This window comes from Homo sapiens, chromosome 12 (genome assembly GCF_000001405.40).
Source record: "Homo sapiens chromosome 12, GRCh38.p14 Primary Assembly".
In the NCBI taxonomy this organism is placed as follows: domain Eukaryota; kingdom Metazoa; phylum Chordata; class Mammalia; order Primates; family Hominidae; genus Homo; species Homo sapiens.
In genome coordinates, this window is record NC_000012.12 from 80,656,414 (window position 1) to 80,683,541 (window position 27,128).

Below are 27,128 nucleotides of genomic sequence, written 5' to 3' on the forward strand. Positions count from 1 at the left end.
CCCATATGTATGGTAGGCAGATCATCTAGAATTCAGACCCAATCCTGTTTACCCATTTTTCCTCCTTGAAAACAAACAACCCATCAAAACAATTAAGTAGTGGATATTTCATGTTTAGTTAAAAATCATTACTGGATGTTTCAATTATAATATCAACTTGGTAAAATTTCTCAGGAAAAATAGTTTCTGACATTTTTCTCTGAAGAAAAGTAATGAGTACAGGGTATCTAGTTTTACTAGCTCTTAAAATATTCTAAAAAGTAGTAATTAGAAATTTGAAAGAAAGAATAGGCAGATGAATTAATGGAAAAGAATGAATGGTCTAGAAATAGACCTAACTACCTAGAAAACAAAGTGGTGTTCCAAATCAGGGACAAAAGATGAAATGTTAAAAAATTGATACTATTTGTTGTTCCAACGACAACAGATAAACAATAAAAGATATATTTATACCTCATTCCTCAAAAAAAAAAAAAAAAGTCCCAATGGGACAAAGATTGAAATACTTAAAACCAGAAAAATCCATGAAATTTTCAGAAGAAACAGAATTTGTAAAATAATAATAATTTATAATGACAACTTTGACAAATGGTACAAAGTCATAGTGAAAAATAATGAGAAATTTGATTGCATAACAATATAAATTTTTGTACGGCAAAATTGATAGACAAATTCATGGACAAATGACAAACTAAGAAGAAAATTTTAATTAATATGACAAAAGGCGATATGTAGCCTTCTGTTTTTAACATACTTTTTTTAAATAAAAGTGAGAAAATGTGAAAGGCAGTTAATAGGAAAGGCATTAAAATGGTCAGTAAACATAAGGAAAGAAGCTCAGTTTCACTTGTATTTAAGGAAATCAAAATAAATATTATGAGACATCAATTTGTATTTGTACAAAGAACATAAAGTGTTTAATAATACCTTGTGATAATGAAAGTAAGAGAAAACAGAATTTTTCAAACACTTTGGTTCAGAGTATGAATTGTTAGAGAACAATTGAGAAATGTTTTTCAAAATTTGGAATGCATATATATAAAATCTAAAAATTTTACTGCTGGTAGTATATTCTACAAGTACACTCCTATATATATGCAATATGCAAAAATTTCAATTATATCTATTCAACATTTTATAATTACAAAGTGAATCATTTAAATAATAATAAAAGGTTAAATAACTACATTATTATATATTCAAACAGTGAAATACTGTATAGCTTTTAAAAATAATTAACTACATATCTTTGTTTATGCTGATACGGAAAGACATAGGTAAATGAAAAAAACGATTTGCAGAACAGATTGTATATCACTCCATTTGTAGCTAAAGAAAATTAGAATATAAAGAATATGTATAGAAAATTCTGGAAATATATACAAGGACATATTAATAGTCATTGTCTCTGGGTGGTAGAAATATGGGAGAAGAAATAACTTTTTAAAATTTACCGCCATCTGTGAAATTGGAATGTTATATTATGAACTCCTTTGTATTACTTTTATAGTAAAAAAAGTAGTAACAATTTAAAAAGCCAATTAACATTGATTCCTTATATTTTCTTCTAGATAATAATAACAGAGTAAAGCTGATAGCTGACGCTAGTGTTCCAGGTTCGGATTATATTAATGCCAGCTATATTTCTGTAAGTTACTATTTTATATATTTTATAATTGTATAAAACATAATTACTGAAATTGTATTATCTTTCCAATTACTTAAAACAACAAATTTATTACAACTCCTATGGATCTTAATATGCTAGTTATTTACAGCCACATTGTGTACCCTTATTTTATAGATGTGGATATGGATATGCCTAACAGAGATACTAACTTATCAAAAATTATTTCACCAGTGCGCGGCAGATGTTCAACTTCAGGCTACACATCCCTGATCTTTCCACTAATTCATATGCTTTGTTAATGTATTCTCCATATGCAATGAAGTTTGCCAATCTCTGTGAATTAAAAATTATCAAATGGACAGTTATGTCCATATAACATGAAAATTTATTATGCAGCTCTTCCCTTCTAGATCTGCAGTCCTTCAAGCGGGTAATAATGCCATCACCATCATAGGTACATTGAAACCTTATATGCACTCAAGATCTCCACTTGGTTTGCAAATTCATGGAATCTTAAAGAAGGAAGTGCCTTGAATTTGACCATTCACCTTGAAACTCTAAAAAATTCCTGTCAGCCTCTTTTGGCATTGATTCATCCACTTCTTCCTAAGACGGGATTCTATCTCTAAACAACTCTGCTTTACAGTTGTTGGGTTTTTTTTTAACCAAGTTATGTCTCTTTATATTCTTACCCACTGACTTAAATTCTAATGCATAGCAAGCTTAACCATCTTCATTATGGTGAATCTACAAATACATGAAGATTTCCTCTGCTGCCCACACTCTCCATAGGCTTTTTCTTATCCATAGGTCTTCTCATCCATGCCCTCTATTTCCTTCAGTTCTATTAAGGCTCTTGTTATATGACGTTCCACCCTTTCTCCAACGTCAAACATACTTGTGCTGTGTCTCATTCCCTCCAAGCCTTTGTCATGGAGGAAAAAAACGAATTAGTTCTAAATCTGATATTGGTTGATAACTAATCTAAAATTACAATCATATATTGGGTCCTGTTGTCAAAGGAGTGAATAATGGGAGAATTTAAGACTTTAAGACTTTTTAACCAGAGAAGTGAAGGAAAGTTTAGAGAAGCTAAGGTATTCTTTAAATTTCATTCTATTTTAATGCTAGAACTTTAAATCTGTATTTAAAGAATTACATGAATTTACTATTATGGTAACATTTTATTCATTTATCAAATGATTGATTCCCTCTAAAATGTAATTCAAAATGTAAACATTTTGGTGAAATCTTATGCTTACAATTTCCATTAAAATCTAAACTCTACAGCATGTTAAAGTTTTACTTGGATTTACAAAATGATGCATATATGCATTTAGATATTTACATTTCATCACTACTCTGATAATCAAATGCCATCAAGCAGGACAAGGACAACTGGTTGTATCAGTGACCTATTGATTTGTATCATTTTTTATTCACCAATAAGTAGATACAAATCAACAGCTCATATTGTCTAATGTTCCATAAGGCATGACAGTACAGGATATGAATATAATTAAGAAGAAAAACAGACAATTTTAGTAGGTGTAGCTGAACCACACAGATTATGTAAGCAAAGTAATTTTCGCAAACCCCCAGTGTCCCCTTGAAATATGGTAGGTTGTCAGCATACAACTATGAGCAAATGATAACGTGGTATGAGCAATAAACTAGGAAGCCTGAAGATATATATTCTGCTGTAATCAAGTGATGTTGTAATATAATAAATCTTACAACAACGTCACTATGACCCAATGTAATGATATGCATAATCATTGCTGAGCTGCATGGTAAGCAGGCTCAGATGGAAGGCACTTTACAAGAAGGCGGATTTCTATATTGGGGCTGGCAGTGTACTGTAGCACTCAGAGAAATCTCCTTTGCTCAGGATGTCAAGAACAGATGGGAACAGATGTAGCAATGATACTGCAGTGGCCCTCACTTTCCACCTACGTATTCCTACAATCTTCACCTTAGAAAGAATGTCTGGTATATCAATTTCCCCCTACCCCCAAATTTTATTCGAAAGCACTTCCAATTGAAAGTTTATGAACACTTGTCCCAGGAGCAAAAGACAGAGGTCATCTATGAATGGATTCCGGGTTTCAATTTCTTTGGAAGCTATGGCAAAGGGAAGAGAACTATAGAGGGAGGTAGGAAAGAAAGCAAAATAACTAGTGTTCAGATAGAAACATGAAAAACTGAAGTCTGGGGAAGAGACAGAGGAGGACCAGCATATGGTCTGAGGGATGTATGTTAAGACTGGGACCCTCCAGCCCAGGGTTTATAACTAGGTTAACATGCCAATGTGTGTTTTCCTCTGCCGTTGGCCATTCTCGAGAATGGTGCTCCCAGAGTTAGGACTTGGAAAGGCTGGAAGATTTTGATGAAGGATAGACTGTGAAAGAGGTAGGAAGAAGTGATATTGCAGCCCCATAATCTGCCACCAACTGTACAAATGAGTTTAGAAAGGTTTTCAAGAGAGTCAAAAATGAAAATACTGTGATTTTAGGTATAAGAGGAAGGCTTATAATTAATTTTGAGGAAGGCTCGTCAAAATTATCTCTCCTGTCAATTTCAGATGCCTGCAATTACTTTAATTTGATGACAGCTTTTAACACAACTAGAGATTAAAGGCTATCATGCAAATGGTTGCAGTAACATTAGAAACATCAGATTTGTTCCTATGTTGACAGAGCATTATAATACTAAAGGATATTGTGTCCCTGAAAAAGTGAAATGAAAATGACAAGAGATACATTTTATAAATCAAAATCAATTTATTAATATTGATCGTCCTCTCTTCTTTGATCCCTCCAAACTTTGTATATTTAGCATAGCCTTTGTCAGATTCTAACTCACAGTGATCTCATTTATTAACTGCCTTCTCTGTGTGAGGAAGAGCATAAGGTACTGGGCACTACATGAGGATAAGCATGTATATTTCCTCTTATCTTAGTACCACGTAAGGATGGAGATTCAGTCTTCATGATCTTACTATCAATCCTTCAATATGAATTGAGGACCCCTAAAACACATACATATGAAAACACAAACACACATGCATGTTTATATACATCATTTACAAGGATTTGCTAGACAGTTTGGGGGATATTAAGATGAAGAATCTCTGCTTTTAATGACATCATAATCATACAAAAGGAAAAAATATATATATATAAACACATATATGTGTGTATACATAAATATATTTGTATATGTGTATATACAGTTATATTTTATATGTCTATATTTTATATATGTATATATATAATATAAACATATATACATTTTGTATGTATGTATCTAGATATGTATATGCATGTATATAAATTCTCCCACTATTCACTCCTTTAGCAATAGGACCCAATATATATATTGTAATTTTGGAATAATTATCAAACAATATAGAATATGGTGATATATTTTTATATGCCGATATGTATACATTTGTATATAAACATATACATATATGTGTATATGTACACACATATATGTACACATACACACATATACTTATAGGCATATACAAATATATCACCATCAATGCCCAACACATTTTCTTTAGCATAATAAAGCAATTGAGGGTGTTTGCAGGAGTAAATATAAACTGCACATTTTACATTTTTTTTCCCTAGAGCTTATATGGGTAAATAAAGAAAACCTGTTCAAGGACATTGATAGGCACTAAAATGTCATTATTTCCTGTATAATATGGATAAACTTTAACATAAAAAAATCTGCAATTTTTGGAAACCTTTACATTTATAGAGCACTTCAAAATTTTCAAAGCAATTTCACATTCCTTATTTTACAAATAGTATTCAAAATGACTCTCTGAGGTGTGCAAGAAAATAATGATTATCTCTAATTTATAATTAGGAAACTGAAGATTAGCTTATTTAAGTAGCCTGCTCTACAGGGTACACTATTAGAAAGGACTAAAGTCAAAACCAGTGTTCTAGTCTCTAGGCCTATACATTGTTTTCATTATTCAAACTTACTGCCTTCTTCTATACAAATTTAATGAAATACCTTATCTTCACTAAACTTAATGCTAGAATTATTGAGAAAGTATGCAGATAATTAGGTTTGCACCATTCAACATTCACAATAGTTAAATCTCAAAGGATGAAAAGAAGGATTGGTCTGACCTTCTCCATCTCATATGCTATTCTAAAACTAATTGTATCTGCATATACAAATTCACTGGATATAACTGAATAACTGCTGTATGAGATTAGAATAAAGCATAAAAATATTGATTTGGAAGCAATATTTAAATTACTTTTTTAGCATGTAGTTCCACAATACCTGAGATGTAGTAGGCATTTAATAATTGAGTTCATAAAAAGGAGGATTATATTTAGATGGGTAAATACATATGCTTCAGAGTTCAAATGGACCTGAGTTCAAATTCCTTCTCTGCATTTTTGTAGCTGTATGACCTGAAACTTTCTGAGTGAAGTTTCTACACTGATAAAGTAGGAATAATAATCAACCCTACTTTATTCATTGCTGCTAAATCATATTTCAATTATTCACTGAATTACACATTGGAAGCATTTAATAAATACATGTTATTTTTATTGCTGTTGATGTTTCATGGTAGTAGATTCTACATTTTCCTGGCTGATAATCCAGAGGAAAATCTCTGAGCTAATTTAAGGACTGCAATGAAAAGTGGCATCCATGGGTAAAGGTCATAATGAAAGTTGACCTGTGGAATGAAACTTACACTTTGTTCCATGTATCACAGAGCTTTAAAAACCAGTAAACTCTATATTCCAATTAAAGGGCAAAAGTCCAGGCAAGAAGTTTCCTCTCAGAAAAACTCAAAAGTTTGCACACACATATTCAAAGGTAGAAGCAGAAATAGCAAACAGAATTGACATACTTTCTTCATTTTCATAAGATACAATGGAAATATCTCCAAAACACCTTTGGGCAAACATTTTACCTGGTGCTTTACCATTTTCTGAAATAAATTAGCCATTACAGGAAGAAAACTTAAATGTGTCTTAGCTTCTTTACATGAGAATCAAGGGGGGAAATGTGACCATATAAAGATATATTTAAATAACAGATAATACATAGATATATGTATTAAAAAGAAATATAAAATAATATTTCAAATCCTGGAAAACTGAGATCATATAATGTTAGTTTTGTAAATAAGTTGTAACAAGATTGTATAGGAATAATCCCAATTATTTATATATGTGTATGTATATAAAATATACAGTATAATATTTAGTATACAATATGTGATATATTGTCTATATTACTCTGTGTGGAACCTACTCCTCCCTTACAGGTACTGGCTTTCTGGCCTTGCTCACCAGTGGGTCTGCATACCCTCCCGTACGTACTCAGCATAGAGAAGGGTCAAGTTGCCTCAATCCTCAGTGCCACCTCCACATCATTCTCTATCCCTCTGCCCTAAAATTGCCAGCTTGAATTCATGCTATCAAGCATAGGACACACCATTGCTCTTTTTGGAAGTTAATTACCATCCCCTAAGTCACTTTCTCTTGTTTCTTAAAGATTTCACTCCGGGATCACTGCTTCTCTCTCATCACTCTTCTGTCATAATTATTGATGATGTCAAAATTCATATAAAATATTGACCCATAGCCCTGCTCATCACTTTCTGGACCTCTTCTCTTGCAGTGACTTGCCTTCCACATGACCTCATCACTTTCTGCCATGTTCACAACCTAGACCTTTTCACCACCAAGAATTGTAGCCTCTCCATAATCTTGATTGCAGATGTCTCACTATCTGTCCAAATCCTTCTTTCCAGATCACTGGACTCTGATAATTCTTCAACCCTGCTCTGCCCTACAGCTCTTTGATTCTATCGAATTTTCCATTTCTCCTAACCCAATCAAGACTTCATTTTTTCTCTTGCTCAGCTTGAACTGCATGCCTATTTGTTTCCTTTCCTCTATTGTATATATCCTCAACTCTCAAATTTATCTCTTATAGTCTCGACCTTTTGATAAATCCCCAAACTTTGCTAAATAAAACCCTCCATGGATTCTTCTCTGTGTTACTAGAAGTGTATTGGAGAAAAATTCATGATCACGCCAAAATATCTCACTTTAAACTCATGGCCACTAACCTCAAAAACACAGCCTCCTAATCTATTCAATCTCCCTTTCTTCTAGGAGATTCTTTCTCCTTCTTCTTTCTTCTCTGGCCTCTAACACTATATTCCTCATTTTCACCTACATCTGATAGCCTTGTTTATATTTCACTGATAAAACAAAAGCAATTAAAAGAGAACATTCACAAGGTCCCCTACTTGTCTGCATCTGTGTCCATATACTCAGTCTTTCTCCTGTGGCTGCATATGAACTGTCCTAGTCCCTGATAACAGCCAACCCTCTCACTTGGACACTACATGACCTCTCCCTTTGCCTCTCAAGAACATGGGTTGAGGAATTCTCCCTTCTGCATCATCATTTTTTCTCTTTTAGCAGCTAAACAAATCTATTGTAATTTCTTACATCATAAAAATATCTTGATATTATAGGTTTCTCTCTACTTCTTTATTGTTCTTTTTATTTACATTATAGCCCCTTGAAGAATTGTCAACACTTACTATCTTCAATTCCCTTCTCTTATTTCTTCAGCACCCTCAAATAAGACTTGGATACTAAGCAAGCACAACACTGAATCAGCTATTTTCAAGGTCATCAATTAACTACTCAGAAAATTAGCCTTAAGTCTCAGTCTCCAATTTATTTGACTTTTCAGCAGCTCTGACTCTTTCATCTTAGTCTCATAGGTTCTATCTCATCTTCCAGACCTGCAAACAAAATAATTTAGAGCTCAGTACTTGAATTTACTATCTCTTTCTAAACTCTTTTTCTTGGTGATTGTAAGAGTCAGGGTTCTCTAGAGGGACAGAACTAACAGGATAGATGTATATATGAAGGGGCGTTTATTAAGGAGTGTTGACTCACACAATCACAAGGTGAAGCCCCAAAATAGGCCATCTGCAAGCTGAGGAGCAAGGAAGCCAGTCTAAGTCCCAAAATCTCAAAAGTAGGGAAGCTGATAGTGCAGCCTTCAGTCTATGACCAAAGGGCCATGGCAAATTACTGGTGCAAGTCCCAGAGTCCAAAAGCTGAAGTACGTGGAGTCCGATGTTCTAGGGCAGGAAGCATCCAGCATTTCCCAGTCCACTGACTCAAATGTTAATCTCCTTTGGCAATACCCTCACAGACACACCCAGAAACAATACTTTGTGTTCTTCAATCCAATCAAGATGACACTCAATATTGACCATCGCAGTGATGTCATCCAATTTTCATGACTTTAAGTAAGAGATATGAGCTGATTACTTTCAAATTTATGTCTCTAGTTTGGACTTCTTACTGAATTCTAAAGTCATATATCTAATTGCCTTCGTGGCATTCCTACCTGAATATCTAATAGTGATTTCAAACATAATATGTCCAATGTGAGTTTTTTATTTTCCCTGCAAATCTGTTCATACTAAAACCTCAAAAACACAGGCAGTAAAAGCAAAAATATACAAATGGGATTATATCAAAGTAAAAATCATATGCACACAAAGGAAACAATCAACAGAATGAATAGACAATCTGCAAAATGGGAGAAAATATTTGCAAACTATTCATCCAACAAGGGATTAATATCCAAAATATACCAGGAACTCAACTCAATAGCAGAAAAAAAATCCAATTTAAAAATGGGCAAATGAGCTGAATGAACATCTCTCAAAAGAAGACATACAAATGGCCAACAGGCATATGAAAGATTGCTCAACATCACTAATCATCAAGGAAATACAAATCAAAACCACAATGAAACACCATCTCTCCCCATTTAGAATGGTTATTATCAAAAAGACAAAAAAATAACAAATGCCAGCAAGAATGCAGAGAAAGTGGAATTATTATACACTATTATACACTATTTAGTTTTCCTCAGAAAACTAAAATACAACCATCATTATGACCCAGCAATACCACTACTGGGTATATATCCAAAGGGAAGAAAATCAGTATGTCAAAGGCATATCTATGCTTACGCAGTAAGTGCTGCAGCACTATTCACAATAGATGAGATAAAGAATCAGCCTAAGTATTCATCAACAGATGAATGAATAAAGAAAATATGCTGTATATACGCAATGGAATACTATTTAGCCATGTAAAAGAATAAAGTCCTGTCATTTGTGGCAATATGGATGAGCTTGGAGAACATTATGATAATTGAAATAATCCAGGAACAGAAAAATAAATACCACATGTTCTCACTTATGCAGAGGCTGAAAAAGTTGATCTCGTGAAAGTAGAGAGTAGAATAGTGGTTAAAAGCTGGGAAGGGGAAGAGGTGAGAGTAAGAGATTGGTTAACGAATGCAAAATTACAGCTAGATAGGAGAAATAAATACTGGTGTCTATAGCTCTGTAGTGTGACTATAACAAACCACAATTTATTGTATATTTTCAAATAGCTAGAAGAGCAGAATTTGATGTTCCCAACATAAAGAAATTATAAATGTTTAAGGAGATGGATGTGCTCATTACCCTGACTTGAGTATTACACATTGCATACATGTATGAAAATTTTCACACTGTATTCCATAAAAATGTGCAATTATTATGTGTCAAAATAATAAGAAAAGATTATTAAAAACTGCTCATCTGGAGTCTTCCCCATCTTCCTTTGGAGTCGTTATTGATTTCTCTGTTTCTCTCATACCTCATATCAAATCTATTAGCAAATTCAGTTGGTTTTGCCTTCAAAATGTATCCATATCTGATCACTTCTCACCATCTCCATTGATATCACCCATGCCACCAATATTTCTTGGCTGAATTGTTACAATAACCCTCTAACTATTCTCCCTCCTTTCACCTTTTAAACTCCCATAGGTTGGTCTATGGAAGCCCACGTGAAACTGTTAAACCACACACTATGTTTGAAACCTTTCAGTGACTTTCTGTGTCATTCAGAGTAAAAAGCAAAGTCTTATAATTACTTTTTAGGACCTAAAGCACCACTTATACTCCCTGCTTTTTCTAGCCATTATCTGTTACTCTTCCCCCTCATTTACTCTACTCCAGGCACCTGCTGTTCCTAGAACATTCCTGACACCCTTCTCCTTTAAGGTCGTTGGACTTGATTTTCCTTCTACCCACAATTCTTTTCCCCCGAATCCTGCAGGCCTCACTTCTTTCCTTCTTCAAAACTGTCTTCACATTATCACCAGTGATATGTGAAGTTTGGAGATGGGCTGGAGAACACTATGATAAGTGAAATAAGCCAGGAACAGAAAAATAAATACCGCATATTCTCATGAAGTATTTATTTTTTCTGAATAACCTATTTCTGAACAGCCTATTTTCTGAAAAGCCTATTTTCTGAAAACTTTCTCTCATAGCCCTTATCACTTTTATAAATTCTATGTAATTTGCATACATAATATACATTAATAGACAATGTCTATTTCTCCTAATGATAAAATAAACGAGGGTAGGAATTTCAGTGTCTTTGGTCAGTGATGAACCCCCAGCTCCTAAAATAGTGCCTGGAATGTAATAGTCACTCACAAATATTGATTCAGTGGAGAATGTGCATATTTAAAAAATCTGTAAAGAAATCAACCAAAATGTTAATGGTCCTTCACTCTGGATAGTGGGATTACAGGTGAATTCTACTTTCTATTATGTATTTTTCTAAATTTTCAAAATATTCTACATTAACATATATTATTTTTAATAAGAAAAGATCCCTCACACTTTAACTACATATTTAGGTCTTTCGGTTGAGACTGGAAAGACAGAAAAGCTGCAGTATACTGTGTATTTAAGAGAATCAAGATTTTCTACAAGCAAATGTTCCTGGCTTGCACTGTAATTTGGGAAAATCACCTAAAGTGCCTCCTCATTGTTCCTTAAAGTAAAATAAACTTGCTGGATTACATTTTAGAGTCCCTGGAAAATTTAAATATATGTTATTTTTTGTATATTACTATTCTCTGACTACTGAGACAATTTCAATGTAAAAAAGTAAATGTTACCTTTTATTCCATATTCCTTAAAGCATCTTCCTGTTTGAAATAGATGTCATTCCATTACTACTTTTTAACTTATACATTACCTTTCTTTAAAAGAAATCCACAGATACTGTTCACAATTATATAAACTCAAGTGTCATGCTTTTATGTTCCAGGTAAATAGACCAAATTTCAGAGAAATTTGATAAATATACACAAGGATGTCATAATAGATTTAAGACAGATCTCATGTCCTATGAGTTTACTGTATTAGCAAAATGAAACTTCATATTACCATGTTTTTCTTGGGTCAGAACTCCAGACAGTAAATGCCACTAGACTAATGACTAATGCCACAGTTTAAGTAGATAAGTAATTTCTTAGAGGAAGAGTGTACATATATCTGCACAACCAATAAATACATGGCAGAAACATCATGGAGTGGGTTTAGAGAGCTGGTTCTGGGCTCAACCTGCCTTACCAATTTTGAGATCTTGGCAAGTTACTTCACCTTTCTAAGCTTCAATATCTTCATCTATAAAATGAGCATAATATTAGTACTAATTCACAATGATTTTATAAGAATATTGAATATAAGATGCTTAGCAAACTGCTACAAAGACTCAGACTTAAGACCTTTATTAAGTTCTGTTATTATTGTAAATATTATTATGTAGTCCTTAATGTTTTATTCAAAAGTTAGACATAAATTTTGAGAACCATTTGTTGTGTAGTATATCAGATTGTGAGGATAAATTTAGACGTTGGAAATTTTGAGTATTTAAGATTATCTAGTATTTACGGTATTCTAAAATATTAGGTAATTTTACAACCAGCATATGTTTCATGCATTGATCGAAAACTAAAACACTGTATCTGTGAACACAGTGATGCAGTGTTTGTAATTATATCCTTCTAGGGTTATTTATGTCCAAATGAATTTATTGCTACTCAAGGTCCACTACCAGGAACAGTTGGAGATTTTTGGAGAATGGTGTGGGAAACCAGAGCAAAAACATTAGTAATGCTAACACAGTGTTTTGAAAAAGGACGGGTAAGTTATTTGAAAATGTTTTACAAATGTTGTTTTACGATTGTGTTAACATATGTGTGAATATTTCATCTAATACTGTGAGTCATCAATAACCTGGACATCTATAAAGTAATTTTAACTTAGTCGTAATAACTGTGGTATACATATATATCAATATAACAATGACGCTTATGACTGATGATTTTCTCTGAATGCAGATCAGATGCCATCAGTATTGGCCAGAGGACAACAAGCCAGTTACTGTCTTTGGAGATATAGTGATTACAAAGCTAATGGAGGATGTTCAAATAGATTGGACTATCAGGGATCTGAAAATTGAAAGGGTAAAAAAAAAAGGGGGGGACGAGAGAACATGATATAAAATATGATTGATCTAAATGTCTAAAATAAAATTAATTTCTAGAACTATCCCTTTCAAGGATACCTGTATATTCAACAATGCTTTTGTATTGTCTTCTGAACAGAATTTTGAATCGATATCCAACTTTAGTATCAATGTCACTGTATTTGTTCCAGATCACTCTAGTTAAAGTCTGTATTAACCAATTAGCATCACATTCTTAGGTTGACAAGAGCAGAAAAAGGAGAGAAAATGATGAGATCACTAGCTTTATTTTATCTAATGAAGAAACTGTAATATCTGACTTGAGACAGCAATTTCCCAAGTCACTCATCTCCTGAATCCTAATAATTTGATTTTCTATTTAATCTGCAGCCAGATAGAAAAGGTAGTATGGGATCTCACTTTATGAGATCTTTATGGGATCACTTTATGGGATCTCAGTTTATATAAATGCCTATACACACAGAAGATGATATAAGGATCTTTATACTTTTCACATAACAGATGCTCAATACCTGTGTATGGAATAATTTGTGAATGTGTTCATTTAAGTTTTGGGTCAAAAGTGTTTCAATACCTATTATTCTGAGTGCTACAAAATGGCATACTATATTTGAATATTAATGTCCTATATTAACATTTATTTCCAAGCTTTCTTATGTTTTCATTCATATTGAAAGGCAATTCTCTTTATTGTAACAATAAAAATCTCTCTTATAGGAAATAATGAAAACATTTTATTTGGTTTGGTAAATAGTCATTTTTAAAAGATCACCTTCAAAAACTGGGACTATTGCCTTCAACCTTCATTGTGGAACTTAAATAATTTTGTCATTCATTAATCCGTCCCTTTGTCTAGCATGGGGATTGCATGACTGTTCGACAGTGTAACTTTACTGCCTGGCCAGAGCATGGGGTTCCTGAGAACAGCGCCCCTCTAATTCACTTTGTGAAGTTGGTTCGAGCAAGCAGGGCACATGACACCACACCTATGATTGTTCACTGCAGGTGAGAAAGTGATCAGAAATGGCCTTTGAACCCATTGGTCTTTTTATTATTAAAATTCCATTGGTTATTTTTTATAAAATGTTCATGTAAATTTCTTCCAGCTTGCCGTCTTCAGAGATTTCACATTTAGCATTTCTAGACACATTGGTATGATTTATGTTTTCTGACATGATAGATCTAAACCAGTCTTGACTCGAGTCTTTTTCACAGTTGAAGTTTGGAGATTAGAGGAAAATGTAGTATGAATTCTACTTAAATGAGATACTCAGAATAGGTAAATAAATAGAAACAGAAAGTAGAGTTGTGGTTATTAGTGAGGAGGGAGATGAAAAATTATTATCTAATGGGTACAGACCTTCTATTTGGGATGATGAAAAGTTCTGGAAATATACTGTGTTGATATTTGCACAACATTGAGAATATACTTAATGCCACTGAATTGTACATGTAAAATGGTCAAAATGGTAGATTCTCTGTTATTCATCTTTCACCACAATAAAAAGATTTTTTTAAAGTAACAATAACTTTTAATATTTTTAACAGGAGTGTACTATAATTAATGTGGTTAAATACTGTACATAAGAAAAGATAAATTCATTCAGTTTTTAAACTTTTATTTTAAAAAACTCAATATGTAATTTAAATGATTATACATTTTCCATAAATTTCTGGATTTTTAAAATTATAAGACTAATACGTAAATGCTTGCTCATTATAAAATATATGAACAATGCTTATATTTATAAAACATGTAGAACAAAAAGTAAAAGCCTCATTTTTACCTTCTCAATTTTAAATCCCTCCATATAGGTATAAAGCTTAATATAATAGTATATACTAAAAACAGTATAACAATTTGCTTCTACAGTCAATGATTGATTTTATGCTGGCATCACTGATGATTAAAACCTTTGATGGACAGTAGCTGTCTTCAATTTCTCTGTATCATGCAAATACACTGCCATGGGCACTAAAAGAAAAGTACTTTCTCCTTTTTAGCCTCAAAAAGAATAGAGTCTCCTCCTTTGTGATTTAAATAAGAGATAAGAAGAAAGTATGTTCATATTATTGACCATCTTTAAATATCATTTGAAAACCATCTACTAAATATTTATCTCCAACTTCAACTTCTCACCTTGACTTTAGACTTCTACATTTAGCTTCCAATTCAACTTGACAGACTGAATGACTAAAAAGTTCTAGAAATTTGATGTGTACAAAACAGAACATTTGACTCAATCTCCAAATTCACCCCTGCTCTGTTGTTCCTATCTTGGTAAAAAGCAAGTTTTTCTGTTTGAGCCAGAAGCCCTGGAGTCATCCTTGATTCTGCTTCCTCTCACATTCCACATCTAACCCACCAGCAAATACTTTCATCCCTGACTACCCCACACTCCTCACTGTACTCTCACCTCCCTGGTCTCCCCTGATTTTTGAACATTCAAAAATGCTGCCACCTCAGGTCTGTTCTCATTTTGCTTCTTCTGGCTACCATGATCTTCTCCCAGATACCCACATGGTGTGCTCCCTAACCTTATGCTAGTTTCTTTTCAAATATTACATTATCAGAGAAATTTTGTCTGCTGACCCTATCCTACCCTATCACCCTCTATCTCCTTAACCTGATTCATCTTTTTTTCAGTATGAGACTTCTTACTACCAGGCACATTCTTGGTCTGTTTATTTATGTGTCGTTTTCCTCTGGACTATAAACTCTGTAAGTGCAGGGACTTTGCATTGTTCACTGCTATGATCCAGGTGCCCAGAACAGTGTTTGACACTCAAAATATATTTAACAATTCAATGGCTGTGTGGCATGTATATATATATACATGTTACTATACTCAGTTTTATGTTATAGGCTCACAATTTCTTAGGTCAAATCATAGGAACTTGCCAATGTTTGAATGTTTCTTACTACAGAACTACAAAAATGGCAGTTTCATGTGGTTCAAAGTAATATTTATAAGACTAGATGAACTTTCAAAAATTTTTTTCGATTAACTTCCTCTATTAACCATTTAATTTCCTAGGAATCTTGTCTTTCTGATAATAGGAATTTCTGACAATAGGAATTTCCGAATCAATCTTGTGAGGTTTATCAGTTAACAGTTTCTATGGAGCATATACCTGTCTTTGAGTATTGATGTAATTTTTTAAATGAAAATAGTTTTTCAATTTTATTATCTATAGGAGGCAAAATAAATTCTAGAGAAAGAAAGTGAAAAGGACAATTGCAACACTATTTTTCAAAATGAAACAAAGAAAATGCTATATAAGCTAAATATTCTACATTTGTAACATTTAGCATTTCTGCTGGTAACTGAATATTTGGTCAATACAGAGTCTCTGGTATTAAGAATTTTCAATGATTTTAAAAAAATCTCTATACTTCAACAACACACCCTAAAATATTAAGAAATAAGAGGTTAAGTTCCACTGATTAAAGAAAGACAAACTCAAATATTTGATAGCATATTAATGATAATCATCTTGCCTTGTTTAAACACAATCTTGGTAACCATAAAAAATCCAAAGACACTCCAAAGAAAATCTGCCTCCAAATAAGAGAAGAAACTATTAGAATTTATTGCTATCATAGCTCATTATCTTTATCCCCATCAAAATGAACAACCCTTTGCTGAATAATTTTCATGTAATTTACCCTTCCTGTAGTGCTGGAGTTGGAAGAACTGGAGTTTTTATTGCTCTGGACCATTTAACACAACATATAAATGACCATGATTTTGTGGATATATATGGACTAGTAGCTGAACTGAGAAGTGAAAGAATGTGCATGGTGCAGAATCTGGTAAGATCTCTAAACCTGCACTGCATTCTAAAGTTCTAGAATTTCCACATGGGAGATCTTAGTGGCAGCAATCTGGATGGACATGAGCTTGAAGCTGTGGACACCTTCTTTTCCTACATTATAAGCCTTTTGGGGAGGATTCGGGAGGGCAGCTGATAGAGATTATAGGAGAACTAATGCCCACATGCCATAGTCACCCTGCAGCATTGTTACTGATGGCTCATCTTAACTTGTTATACTGATAGGCATGTAGGCAGTAACATAAAATTGATTTATCTTTATCGTTTAGCAACTTTGGGATATCTGGAAATGAACTCAAATCAATATCTTTTGAATATCATTATCTTTTGAAAAGTTATAAATGGGAAAACAGTTTAAAATATTGACTGTAATAAAGTTCTATGGGTTTTACTTCTCCATATTTATCCCTATTGCATACCAGTACTAATAATGATTATTGTAGCACGCTATCAACTATTAACTGTGAGGTTTTTGTTTGTTGTTTTGGCTTATAGGCAAAAAATATTTACAAAATATATACAATTTTTATTTTAAAAAATCACACAGTACTATGGTAATGAGGCTTAAAACCCTCTACTGAGTGTCTACTGGGTTCCAGGAGCTATACTAGACCCTTCACATGTATTATCTTATTTAATCTTTATTAAATTAAATTCTTTATTTGTAAGGCAGGGCCAGTAAAACCATAAATATTACTGGCTCTGCTTTACAAACAGGGAAGCACATGTTCCAAGAAGTTAAATGATATTCCAAGATAATATTACTGATAAGTGCCAGAGCCAAAATTCAAGCCCTAGTCTGTATAACTACAATATACACAATATTCCTATCTGTAGCTTTGGATTGGAATTTGTATGTTACACAAATAGAGATTCTCTTGCAGTAAATACGCAGGCCTGCTGTAACTGTATTTTCCAGGTTACATTCTAGAAAACAGAAGTGGTATCAAAGTAGTTAAACATTTCAGAAAAAGAGTTATCTGCTAAAATAAGTATGAGAAAGAAATTAAACTGATTTTTAAAGACATAAATTTTTAGGATCTTAATGTTAATTTCACTGACAATTACAAAGATAGAGCCCTATGGACAACTTTTCCTAAACTTCGATGACTGGAGAACTCTTCAACCCTTTTTGATTCAAACCTGTAATACCATGTCATGGAACATTAATCCTCCTTGGAAGATGCTGTTCCAGACCAGAGATATCCAAACTTTTTGGACAAATGTCCCTTTTAGGAAAGATATTTGAGCTTCTACTCTAATACAGATATATTTATCTTTAAATGTAGATTATTTAGTTATGTAAATTGTAAACATAAATAAAATAAGAAATTGAAAAGCATGAGATAAATATTGAATAAGGAATATTTTCAAAACCTTGCTAATTGCTAAGGCTACTTATTATTAGGTATTCTCAAAAAAGAAAATATATACTTAAGACAAAATACTTCTCTTTTGATAGTGGTTTTAAGTACATATTTTACATTTTTATGCTTTTTTAAAAAACTGATCTAGCTTTTTGTCAGGTCTGATTACATGTTGTTATTTTTACCTCATAGTATGGCTACAAGAGTATTCCAGGAGTATGATGAATGTGTTAGTCTTGCCAATTTTTTGTCATTCATTTGGGCTTGCATGATAAATATTATCTTTAATCCACAGTCTCTTTGTAGGAATCTTCCTTAACTACTTCAATTCTGTGATAATTAGTTAGGTAAACTAGGTAATATAATGCATATACATTCCCTCATATACTGAGTTAACAAATGAGTTAAATGTCACCCTTCCCCCAGGATTCAGAAATGGAATATTATACATGACCAGGGCCAGCTTCATGGGTAGGCAACATGGGTAGTTTCACAGGTCCTCACACTTAAAAGGGCCCTGAAATTGGTTTAATGTTTGCTGTCACTGTCTTGAAAATCTTAAAATTACATTTTGAGACAGGAACTTTACATTTTGTAGTGGAACTTTACATTTTGCATTCTCTCTAATCCAAGTTTGGCTAACAAATTAGGTAGCTGGTCTTTATCAAGGGGTCTTATGAAGGTTCTAATATCAATCCAACTATTACTCATTATTAAAATTCAATTTCCTTCTCATTTTTAGTTAAAAACAAAGATAAATGAAAAGCTAACATTTTCCTCCCATGTCCCTAGGTGTACACATAGACACTGGGGATCAGTGCTCTCAATGAAATTAAGGGTTTGCTCTCTTGGGTAGGATAGAGGATGGAACTGACGGTTTCCTTCTAGAGTCTAGAGTCAATCTTCAAACAGTAAAAGCTGAAAAAACTTCCATGCTCTGCAACTTTGTAGAATTAAATTCTGTAAAGAGTGTGTTCAAGAATGTCTGTTAATAATTTTACCCAATTTAGTAGTCAAAATATGTTATAAACTTCATACATTATTCTGTTTAACCAGCCATAGCAAATTGTCACAGCTTGGGATGGGGATTTAGGGGTGGGGCAGGGATTAGAAAGAAGGTTTTTGAAGTCAGAGAACTAAATTCCGAATACATCTCTGCTAATTGTTGGCTCTGTGACTTTGTTTAGTTAGCCTCTTTGAGCTATGTCTCTTTTGTAAAATTGCCCTGTTACACTTTTCACAAACTTGTTATCAGTATTAAATAAGAGAAAGTTTGTAAATCACCAACATGGTGCCCAGCAGGCAGTAAATGTCCAGTGAGATTTTTCTGATTCTCTCCTTGCTGAAAATCAGGTACTCGGAAGCCCTCTTTGATCTTAGTTCCCAGAAGTTAGGCTCTTTACTGTTTTTTCCCTGTGATGACAGACAGAAAAATGACCACCCCTTGCCTCCAGTCCTTACAAACCAGCATTGCCTTGCACAACAGCAGTTTCTTATTTTCTTCTCCTGCACTCCAGAGTGATTGCAGTTTCTATGAGGAATATTCCTGTCTTAGCACATACTACAGCAGCAACTTCAGCAATATACTGCCACTAAAAGGCACTGAGGTGTATAGCCCTTACCCAGGAGAAAGCTTTGATTTCTTTCACTCAAAAAACAATGCACTGGGCACTGGGTGCGGTGGCTTATGCCTGTAATCCCAGCACTTTGGGAGGCCAAGGTGGGCGGATCACCAGGGGTCAGGAGTTCGAGACCAGCCTGACCAACATGGTGAAACCCCGTCTATACTAAAAATACAAAATCAGCCAGGCGTGGTGGCGCGTGCCTGTAATCCCAGCTACACTGGAGGCTGAGACAGGAGAATCGCTTGAAACCGGGAGGCAGAGGTTGCAGTGAGCCAAGACTGCGCCATTGCACTCCAACCTGGGCGACAGAGCGAGACTCTGTTGCAAACAACAACAACAACAAAACCAACAACAACACATTGTAGCCCCAGGAAATTTGAAAGGCCTTTATGAGAGAACTCTCTGTAGTGAGCTAATATCCTAAGATACTTTTAGTGCCTCAAGGAAGTGGAAATTTACTGGTGTGAACTCATATAGGGGAAGAAAAAGAAAAAAAGTCAACATATTTTGGATGTCCAGTTTTTTGTCGGGCATTTTATGTATGTTAAATCCTTTAAATCTTACAATACAGGATTTATGACACACACTCCCACCCCCAGATGAGGAAATTGTGCATCAGAAGAGTTTAATTCTTAAGGTAATATGGCTCTCTAGGGCAGAAACTGGAATTAAACTTTTTTCACAACAGTATGCTGCTTTCTTGGCAATAACACATAACGGCAGAAGGACCTTGGAACCTGTAGGACTGTCTCACAGAGTTCAGCCTGCTCTGCTGGCAAAGTTTACACCTATCATTCTTTCCAGTGGAGAAGATGAAATCAGGACAGTCAGAAGTTTCACATATCAAATGTGACTTCACATATTTTTTTAAATACTAGAACTCATAAATTTAAATGATTTCCAAAAAGATTATATTGTGTCAACATATTTCTGTCAATAATGTAATTCACTGTGTCATGTATGTTTGAAAACACACTCTTGGAATTACCTCGAGAAGTAACTTACTAGCAATTTCAGTAGAAATTTTATTGCTTTATAACAACACTTCAATTCTTACCAAAATTGAATTCTATAAACTAGATCATCCACCTCATTTACAAAACTTAACACCTAATGACATTTGAATTTTCTTTAAATTACATCTGCCCTTAAATGGTAAAGGTTGACTAGCTGTGAGAATTAAATGAGACTAAGTCAACAAACACTTATTATACAACTACTATGTGCCCGGCACTATTATAGGTAATCAGAATATAGCAGTGAATATGACAGAGTTCTGCCTTTATAAAACTGACGTTCCAGTAATGAGATGTTCTTGGAAACATTTTGTAATCCACAAAGAAATAGATATTCCTAATAATGACAAACAATTTCTGAAGACAATTTCAATAGAGGAGTTCCAAAAGGTTTTGAGGTACAGTAGCAATAGATACGAATATAACCTCTGAGGCTGATCACTTTTGAGAATGTTCTATTTAAATCATTGTCAATTTGAATATATGTCTTAAACATTTGATGATATTCCTTTAAAGTCAGATATGTTTGTTATGTGCAAATGAGGGTGATTTGAAATATACTTTTTTTTTTAGCTTTAACTACTTTTGATAAGGTCCAAACTCAGAGATGCTAGTAGGTTATTGAATTATATTGAAAACATTTAAAGGATCCAAATGGTACTGAATTTAGCCCAAACATTCAGATGCAATGGTAGGAGTCCTTGTCCAGCACCTGGATGTTTGGGTACTTCAATGACCCACTGCCTTGTATTTACAAATCAGGACCAGATACTTGATCTTAAGCAGGCCACATATCCAGGTGACTAACAGATTTATTGGTTAAACATATTTTAAATGCGCTGATGATGTATAGATATGCTGACTCACAGATTTCAAAAGTAAATTTAGCATTTGTATTCCAACAGTCATTCTAACAAGAAAACTGTAAGAGAATTTACCAATTAGGTCTAACAGGAAAAAAACTCATAAACAAATTTATGTAATATAATTTTCTACTTCTTATGATAACAGCAAGAAAGAATATATTAATACTTGGTGTTTAGTGACAAGTGTTAGAAAAAAACTTGAAGCTTCAAGAGACCACAGGAATTTAGAAAGCCTCCTATTTGAAATGGTAGAAAATCATATCTATACTATGATAAATTCTGTGTCTGTAACTTAGCTATTTATTTGATGAATTCAGTACTGCTTTTAGCTTTAACAATATAACTCCCTTTATGAAACTCTTCATCAATATATTTGTTTAACCACTCTGTCTTTGGTGTCTAGGCACAGTATATCTTTTTACACCAGTGCATTCTGGATCTCTTATCAAATAAGGGAAGTAATCAGCCCATCTGTTTTGTTAACTATTCAGCACTTCAGAAGATGGACTCTTTGGACGCCATGGAAGGTAAACAGAAACAACAGTATATGCCCAGCTTACTAGTTTACCACCTACGGTAAGAACATAAATTTCAGAATAACCATATGTTAAAAATGTTTAAGAAGCTGGATTAGTGCACAGATCAGGTTTTTTTTCTTTAACTTTTCTCTAATCCAAGTTGGGCTAATAATACCCTTTCTGTCTACATTATATTTTTATCATGAAACATTTCAATTTTGAACTGTTAACTTCAACACTCTCTTGTAACATGTTACTTTCTGTTATAGGTGATGTTGAGCTTGAATGGGAAGAAACCACTATGTAAATATTCAGACCAAAGGATACAATTGGAAGAGATTTTTAAATCCCAGGGGCCAAAGTTACCCCCTCATTCTTCCGAATTGAAATGTGCAACCTTAAAGAAATATCTATGCTTCTCTCACTGTGCCTTTCCAAACGGATTGAACATTTTAAGACTAGTTCTTGAAAATAGCTAATACAGAATAATTATTTGTTTTGTACAGAATAAATATTATGCATTTTAAATGCTTAAGAAAAGACATCCCATATGTTTTTGAAGTCCTCCATATTTTGGAATAAGCCAAATAGAAAATTATTATTATATTAGCATTAATGTTTCAATGTGAATTTTCCCTATGTATTGGATTTAATTTTGAGCAAAAGTTGTAAATGTTGATTCAGTAGTGTTGTTTTGGCTTACAGGGTATTGATGTTTCTTGTGGATAATTTCCAGGACTGTCATAATGATCTGTACTTCCATGTACACCCCTGTGTTTTGAATCCTCTGTTTTATGAGTGCTGAGATATCATCTCATGATCCCGAACAGCTGAACAGTAACCCCCTGACACTGCAGGGATTACTTGGCCTTTATACAACACACAGTAGCTCTTCAGGGACACTTAGGGCTATTTAATTTGCATTGTGATCTTCAGTTTGAGAACCTTAAAAGAAAAATTAAAAGTGCAATTGCACACATGAAATTACAGAGTACCATTCTAGCAAACCTACATTTGTAAACTTTAAAACACAAGTTTTACCCCCTGTATTGTATATTCAAATATATAGTAAATGTATCAGAGTATTTGCCCATTAGATATAGTCAACCTAATATTAACAATTCTGAAGAGTTTCTTCAGCAAAAATGTATCAAAAGAGTAATAAAAACACTGTGCGTGTTTCAAGCTTGTAAACCAATGATGTGCTGCTGTGGTGCCAACAGAGACTTCCAAATGGATTATGTTAAATGGCCGTCATTTCATTTCCCAAGGTTGATTTTGAGCAGTATACTTGGTGGAACTGAAAACAAAGAAATTAACCATGTATAGCAAATTCAAGGTTTCTTTATAGAAAATCTTTCAGCCTCCATCTTATTAAATAGTGACAATGTGGTAAGTTTTGAATTACATGAACTCATTTTGTCATAGATTTCAATTAAGAGTAATAAATAGTATTAATTATTCTCTTCTATGATAAGAAGTATATCTTATGCTTATTTCCGCTGGAACATATATATATAAGAAATGCTATGGCCAATAAAATTGAATTTTAATGAATTATCTTGCAGCATAATTTCAGAAGTTCCTATATAAATAAAAATTTGATTTTGTATCTCCTATTAAGACATAATAATTATACTAATCCTCACATAAAATACATAAAATAAAGATATACCTACAAGTATAATATGACATAATTTATGTAATATAATATAAATAATTAAGATATAATTATTTCTTAAGACATCCATAAGTAATTTTAATGTGGGATATACTATCCAAGAAATTAAAGACCTTAGTCTCACAGTCTCTAGAAAAGTGTAAAATTTACTTCCTTTTTTTTTCATGGCAAGGAAGTACAAATAAATACAATCCACTACTGTTCCAGCTAATAAGTTTATAGAAAGTTACCGAAAACAATAAAAAATGATGAGAACTCTAAAAGATTCAAGTTGGGGTTATACGTTCTTTAGTTTCCTTTATGTCAATTATGGAAAATATATGGCAAGCCAGTATGGGGTTTTGTACTCGTTAAAGACAAATAACATAACCGGTGGGAAGTATTGGTGAGGTAACTTTTTAGTGTATCAAATGATTTTAAAACATAGTTCAATCTACAGGCCAGTCCACTTTCTGTTATATCTGTATAAATCAGATGTTTAGAAGATAGAGTTTGACCCATGTATATATGCATATGTGTATACATAAAACACAGTTTGAATATTAAGTCTCTTCGAACCATGCTTATCAAACTTTAATGTTTATACAAAGTACCTGGTGATTGTCTTAAAACGCAGATTCTGCTTCAGTAAAAAGAGAATAGTCCTGAGAGTCATTTCTAGCAGGTACTTGAGTTATAAAATTGCTGCCTAATTTCAGGATATATGTTGAATAATGTGTGAATCTCTAAAAGACATTAGTCAGGATCATAACAATTTTAGATCTACCTAAAATTATTTAAAACATGTTTGTAAAAGATTTGGCTTCATTATAAAAAAAATTGTAACAGAGCATTTATAAAATATGCATAGCTAGCTATATCAAGACACTAACTAAAATTAAGTTGAAACCCAGACATTAATGACAGCTAAATTTTCTTTTAATGATATTGTGAAAGGGCCAATTTATACCCAGGTTCTATAGGTGGCTACTAAGTGCTAATTAAAATAATGAAGAACATCTGTAACATTTTTAGATCAGATTTGTCAAAATACGTTGAAGCACATGTACAATAAATGAGCAACATGTGTTTCATATGAACCAAATGAAACTGGAGCCTCTCAGAATGCTTTGCCAGAGACAACAGCAGCTGTGGGTATCACCTCTACTTTCATTCTGCTTTAAAATGCCTCATTTTCTTCTTTCAGTTTATAGGTGAAATGTATAATAAGTCTTTTGCAGAAAAACTAATTAAACGTTGACCTCTTCATAAAGGAGATGGTGATTCATTCCACATATTGTACCAAACACTAGCTTTTAAAATAAAAATTTAAGTTCAGCAAAGTATTCTATAAATTGAAGCTGTTATTCTGATGATCATGTCCATTTTCATTAGCTAACTTTTAGAAAACTCAGTGAAATATTTTAAGAAACTTAGGACACAATGATTTGAAATTCTCAACTGAATTATATTTAAAAGTGAAAATATGAAAAAAGTGTATAAAGCATAATCTTGGTGAAACAGCTTGTCTTCTTAGGACAAGTAATATTTCGTGGTAAATGACTTTATAAATATGGATAGAGTTTCCACGTAGAATCGGGATAATACACCCACCAGCTCATGGAGATGTTCTGAGGAACAGATTAGATTACATATAGGAAAATGTTTTGAAAATTACAGTGAACTTTACAAAGTTAGGATAATCTTTTACTAAGACTGGTCAATGTGTAATGTTTATCAAAAAGATAATGCATCCCATTTTAAGATTGTATTGTACTTTGTGGGTATTAGTGTCATATTTGTATGTCCATTTCGCATGCACAGACTGAAGAGAAAATTATGGCAGATATATTGACTTCTGGTAAGTAAGACTATTGATACTTTACTAAGTAAAATATTTAGTGCTTGTTCAATGAATTTTTGATTAAAATGAATGTGTAGACAGGTACACAAATAATATAAGATATAATTTGGGAAACAAGTCAAGAAAATTTTCATTTCAGAAGATTACCTGGACATTCTAAGTCAGTATCTGTGATATTGTCCTCTGAAAATAAAACTCATTTAATAGAAGGTAAAAAAAAAAAAAGCATTATTTTCTGTTAACAAGATTATGTTTCTAAAGTCACCACCTTAAATTATTTTAATTTCACTAAAAGTTTTATTGGATTGGGAAGTCATTTTAGTAAATTATAAACTTTTTAGAGTACTTTTAAATCCATCAACCTTATTAATCCTTACAAAATCCTTTAAGATCGGCAGGGTCCTGTATTACGGGAAAGATAATGAAAGCTTAATTGCTGTGCCTGAAACCACATTAGTAAAAGTTGAAGCTGAAGTTAAAACTGAGTTTCTATGGCTCCCGAAAAGTACTCTTTCCATAACGTTATGCCAGTCTCTCCATAAGTCAAATGACATGCTTTGAATAGTGTAAAATGCTCGTGATAAAGAAAGGTCATAATCATCACATGTCCTAATTCCCTATTAGCCAGTTAGAGATTTTCTGCTAATCATATGAAAATAAGTAACAAAAACCACAGACAATTCTAGAGGTAAATAAGCTCTTAGAATGAATTTAAGAGAGTAAAAATAATTCTTGATGAATACAGTAATATTAAAGAAGAAAAGTTTAGAAAGTAAAAAATATTAAAATATTAAAAATGAAAGAAAAAAGAACACTGGAATTTAAAGAATTATGAAAGTAAAGCTAAAAAAAGAGAAGAGGTTGTTAAAGTCAAAAAAGCTCCATAGCATTTCTATACATATATATATATATGTGTGTGTGTGTGTGTGTGTATGTGTGTATGTATTGTATGTATATATAATCAAATACTATCAAGTCCTTTACCCTACTAATAATCAAAAGAAGGGGGAAGAGTAAGAAAAGGAGAGAAGGAAGAGGACAAAAAGGAGAACTAGAAGATATAAAAGAAAGAAAAACATAAGAAAGATTCTGTAATTGAATATTTGAATCTTAAAGGTGTGCCTGGCACTGTGCTGGAATCATAACAAGAGTTGGCATGTTATCTAATTTAAACCACACCTATGAGGTCAACTCCATTAAAAGGGTAGGAAATGGAAGCATGGAGGTATGAGGAAGATTGCCCAGATTCTCACAGAGAGTAATTGGTAGTCTGGAATTCAAATCCAAGTCTATGTGGCTAG

At 33.0% G+C, this 27,128-nt stretch overlaps 1 protein-coding gene and 1 long non-coding RNA gene across 2 annotated transcripts in view, besides 1 other annotated feature; one reads left to right on the forward strand and one right to left on the reverse strand.

Moving 5' to 3' along the window:
• Positions 1-23,860, forward strand: part of PTPRQ (protein tyrosine phosphatase receptor type Q) — a 236,039-nt gene extending 212,179 nt beyond the window's left edge. The window contains exons 39-45 of the mRNA NM_001145026.2: positions 1,572-1,648; positions 12,594-12,728; positions 12,926-13,051; positions 13,931-14,079; positions 16,756-16,891; positions 22,189-22,312; positions 22,573-23,860. Coding sequence (NP_001138498.1) covers positions 1,572-1,648; positions 12,594-12,728; positions 12,926-13,051; positions 13,931-14,079; positions 16,756-16,891; positions 22,189-22,312; positions 22,573-22,610 — 785 coding nt within the window. The 3' untranslated portion in view covers positions 22,611-23,860. The remainder of the gene's footprint in view (positions 1-1,571; positions 1,649-12,593; positions 12,729-12,925; positions 13,052-13,930; positions 14,080-16,755; positions 16,892-22,188; positions 22,313-22,572) is intronic.
• The window catches only part of LOC105369867 (uncharacterized), a 176,665-nt gene that overhangs the window by 125,840 nt on the left and 23,697 nt on the right, over positions 1-27,128 (reverse strand). The window lies entirely within an intron of this gene.
• Positions 22,957-23,251: a silencer, noted in NCBI's record as "tiled region #15034; HepG2 Repressive non-DNase unmatched - State 24:Quies". NCBI's record gives its function as "represses a minimal TATA promoter and a strong SV40 promoter by Sharpr-MPRA in HepG2 cells {active_cell/tissue: HepG2}" and the evidence as "EXISTENCE:reporter gene assay evidence [ECO:0000049][PMID:27701403]".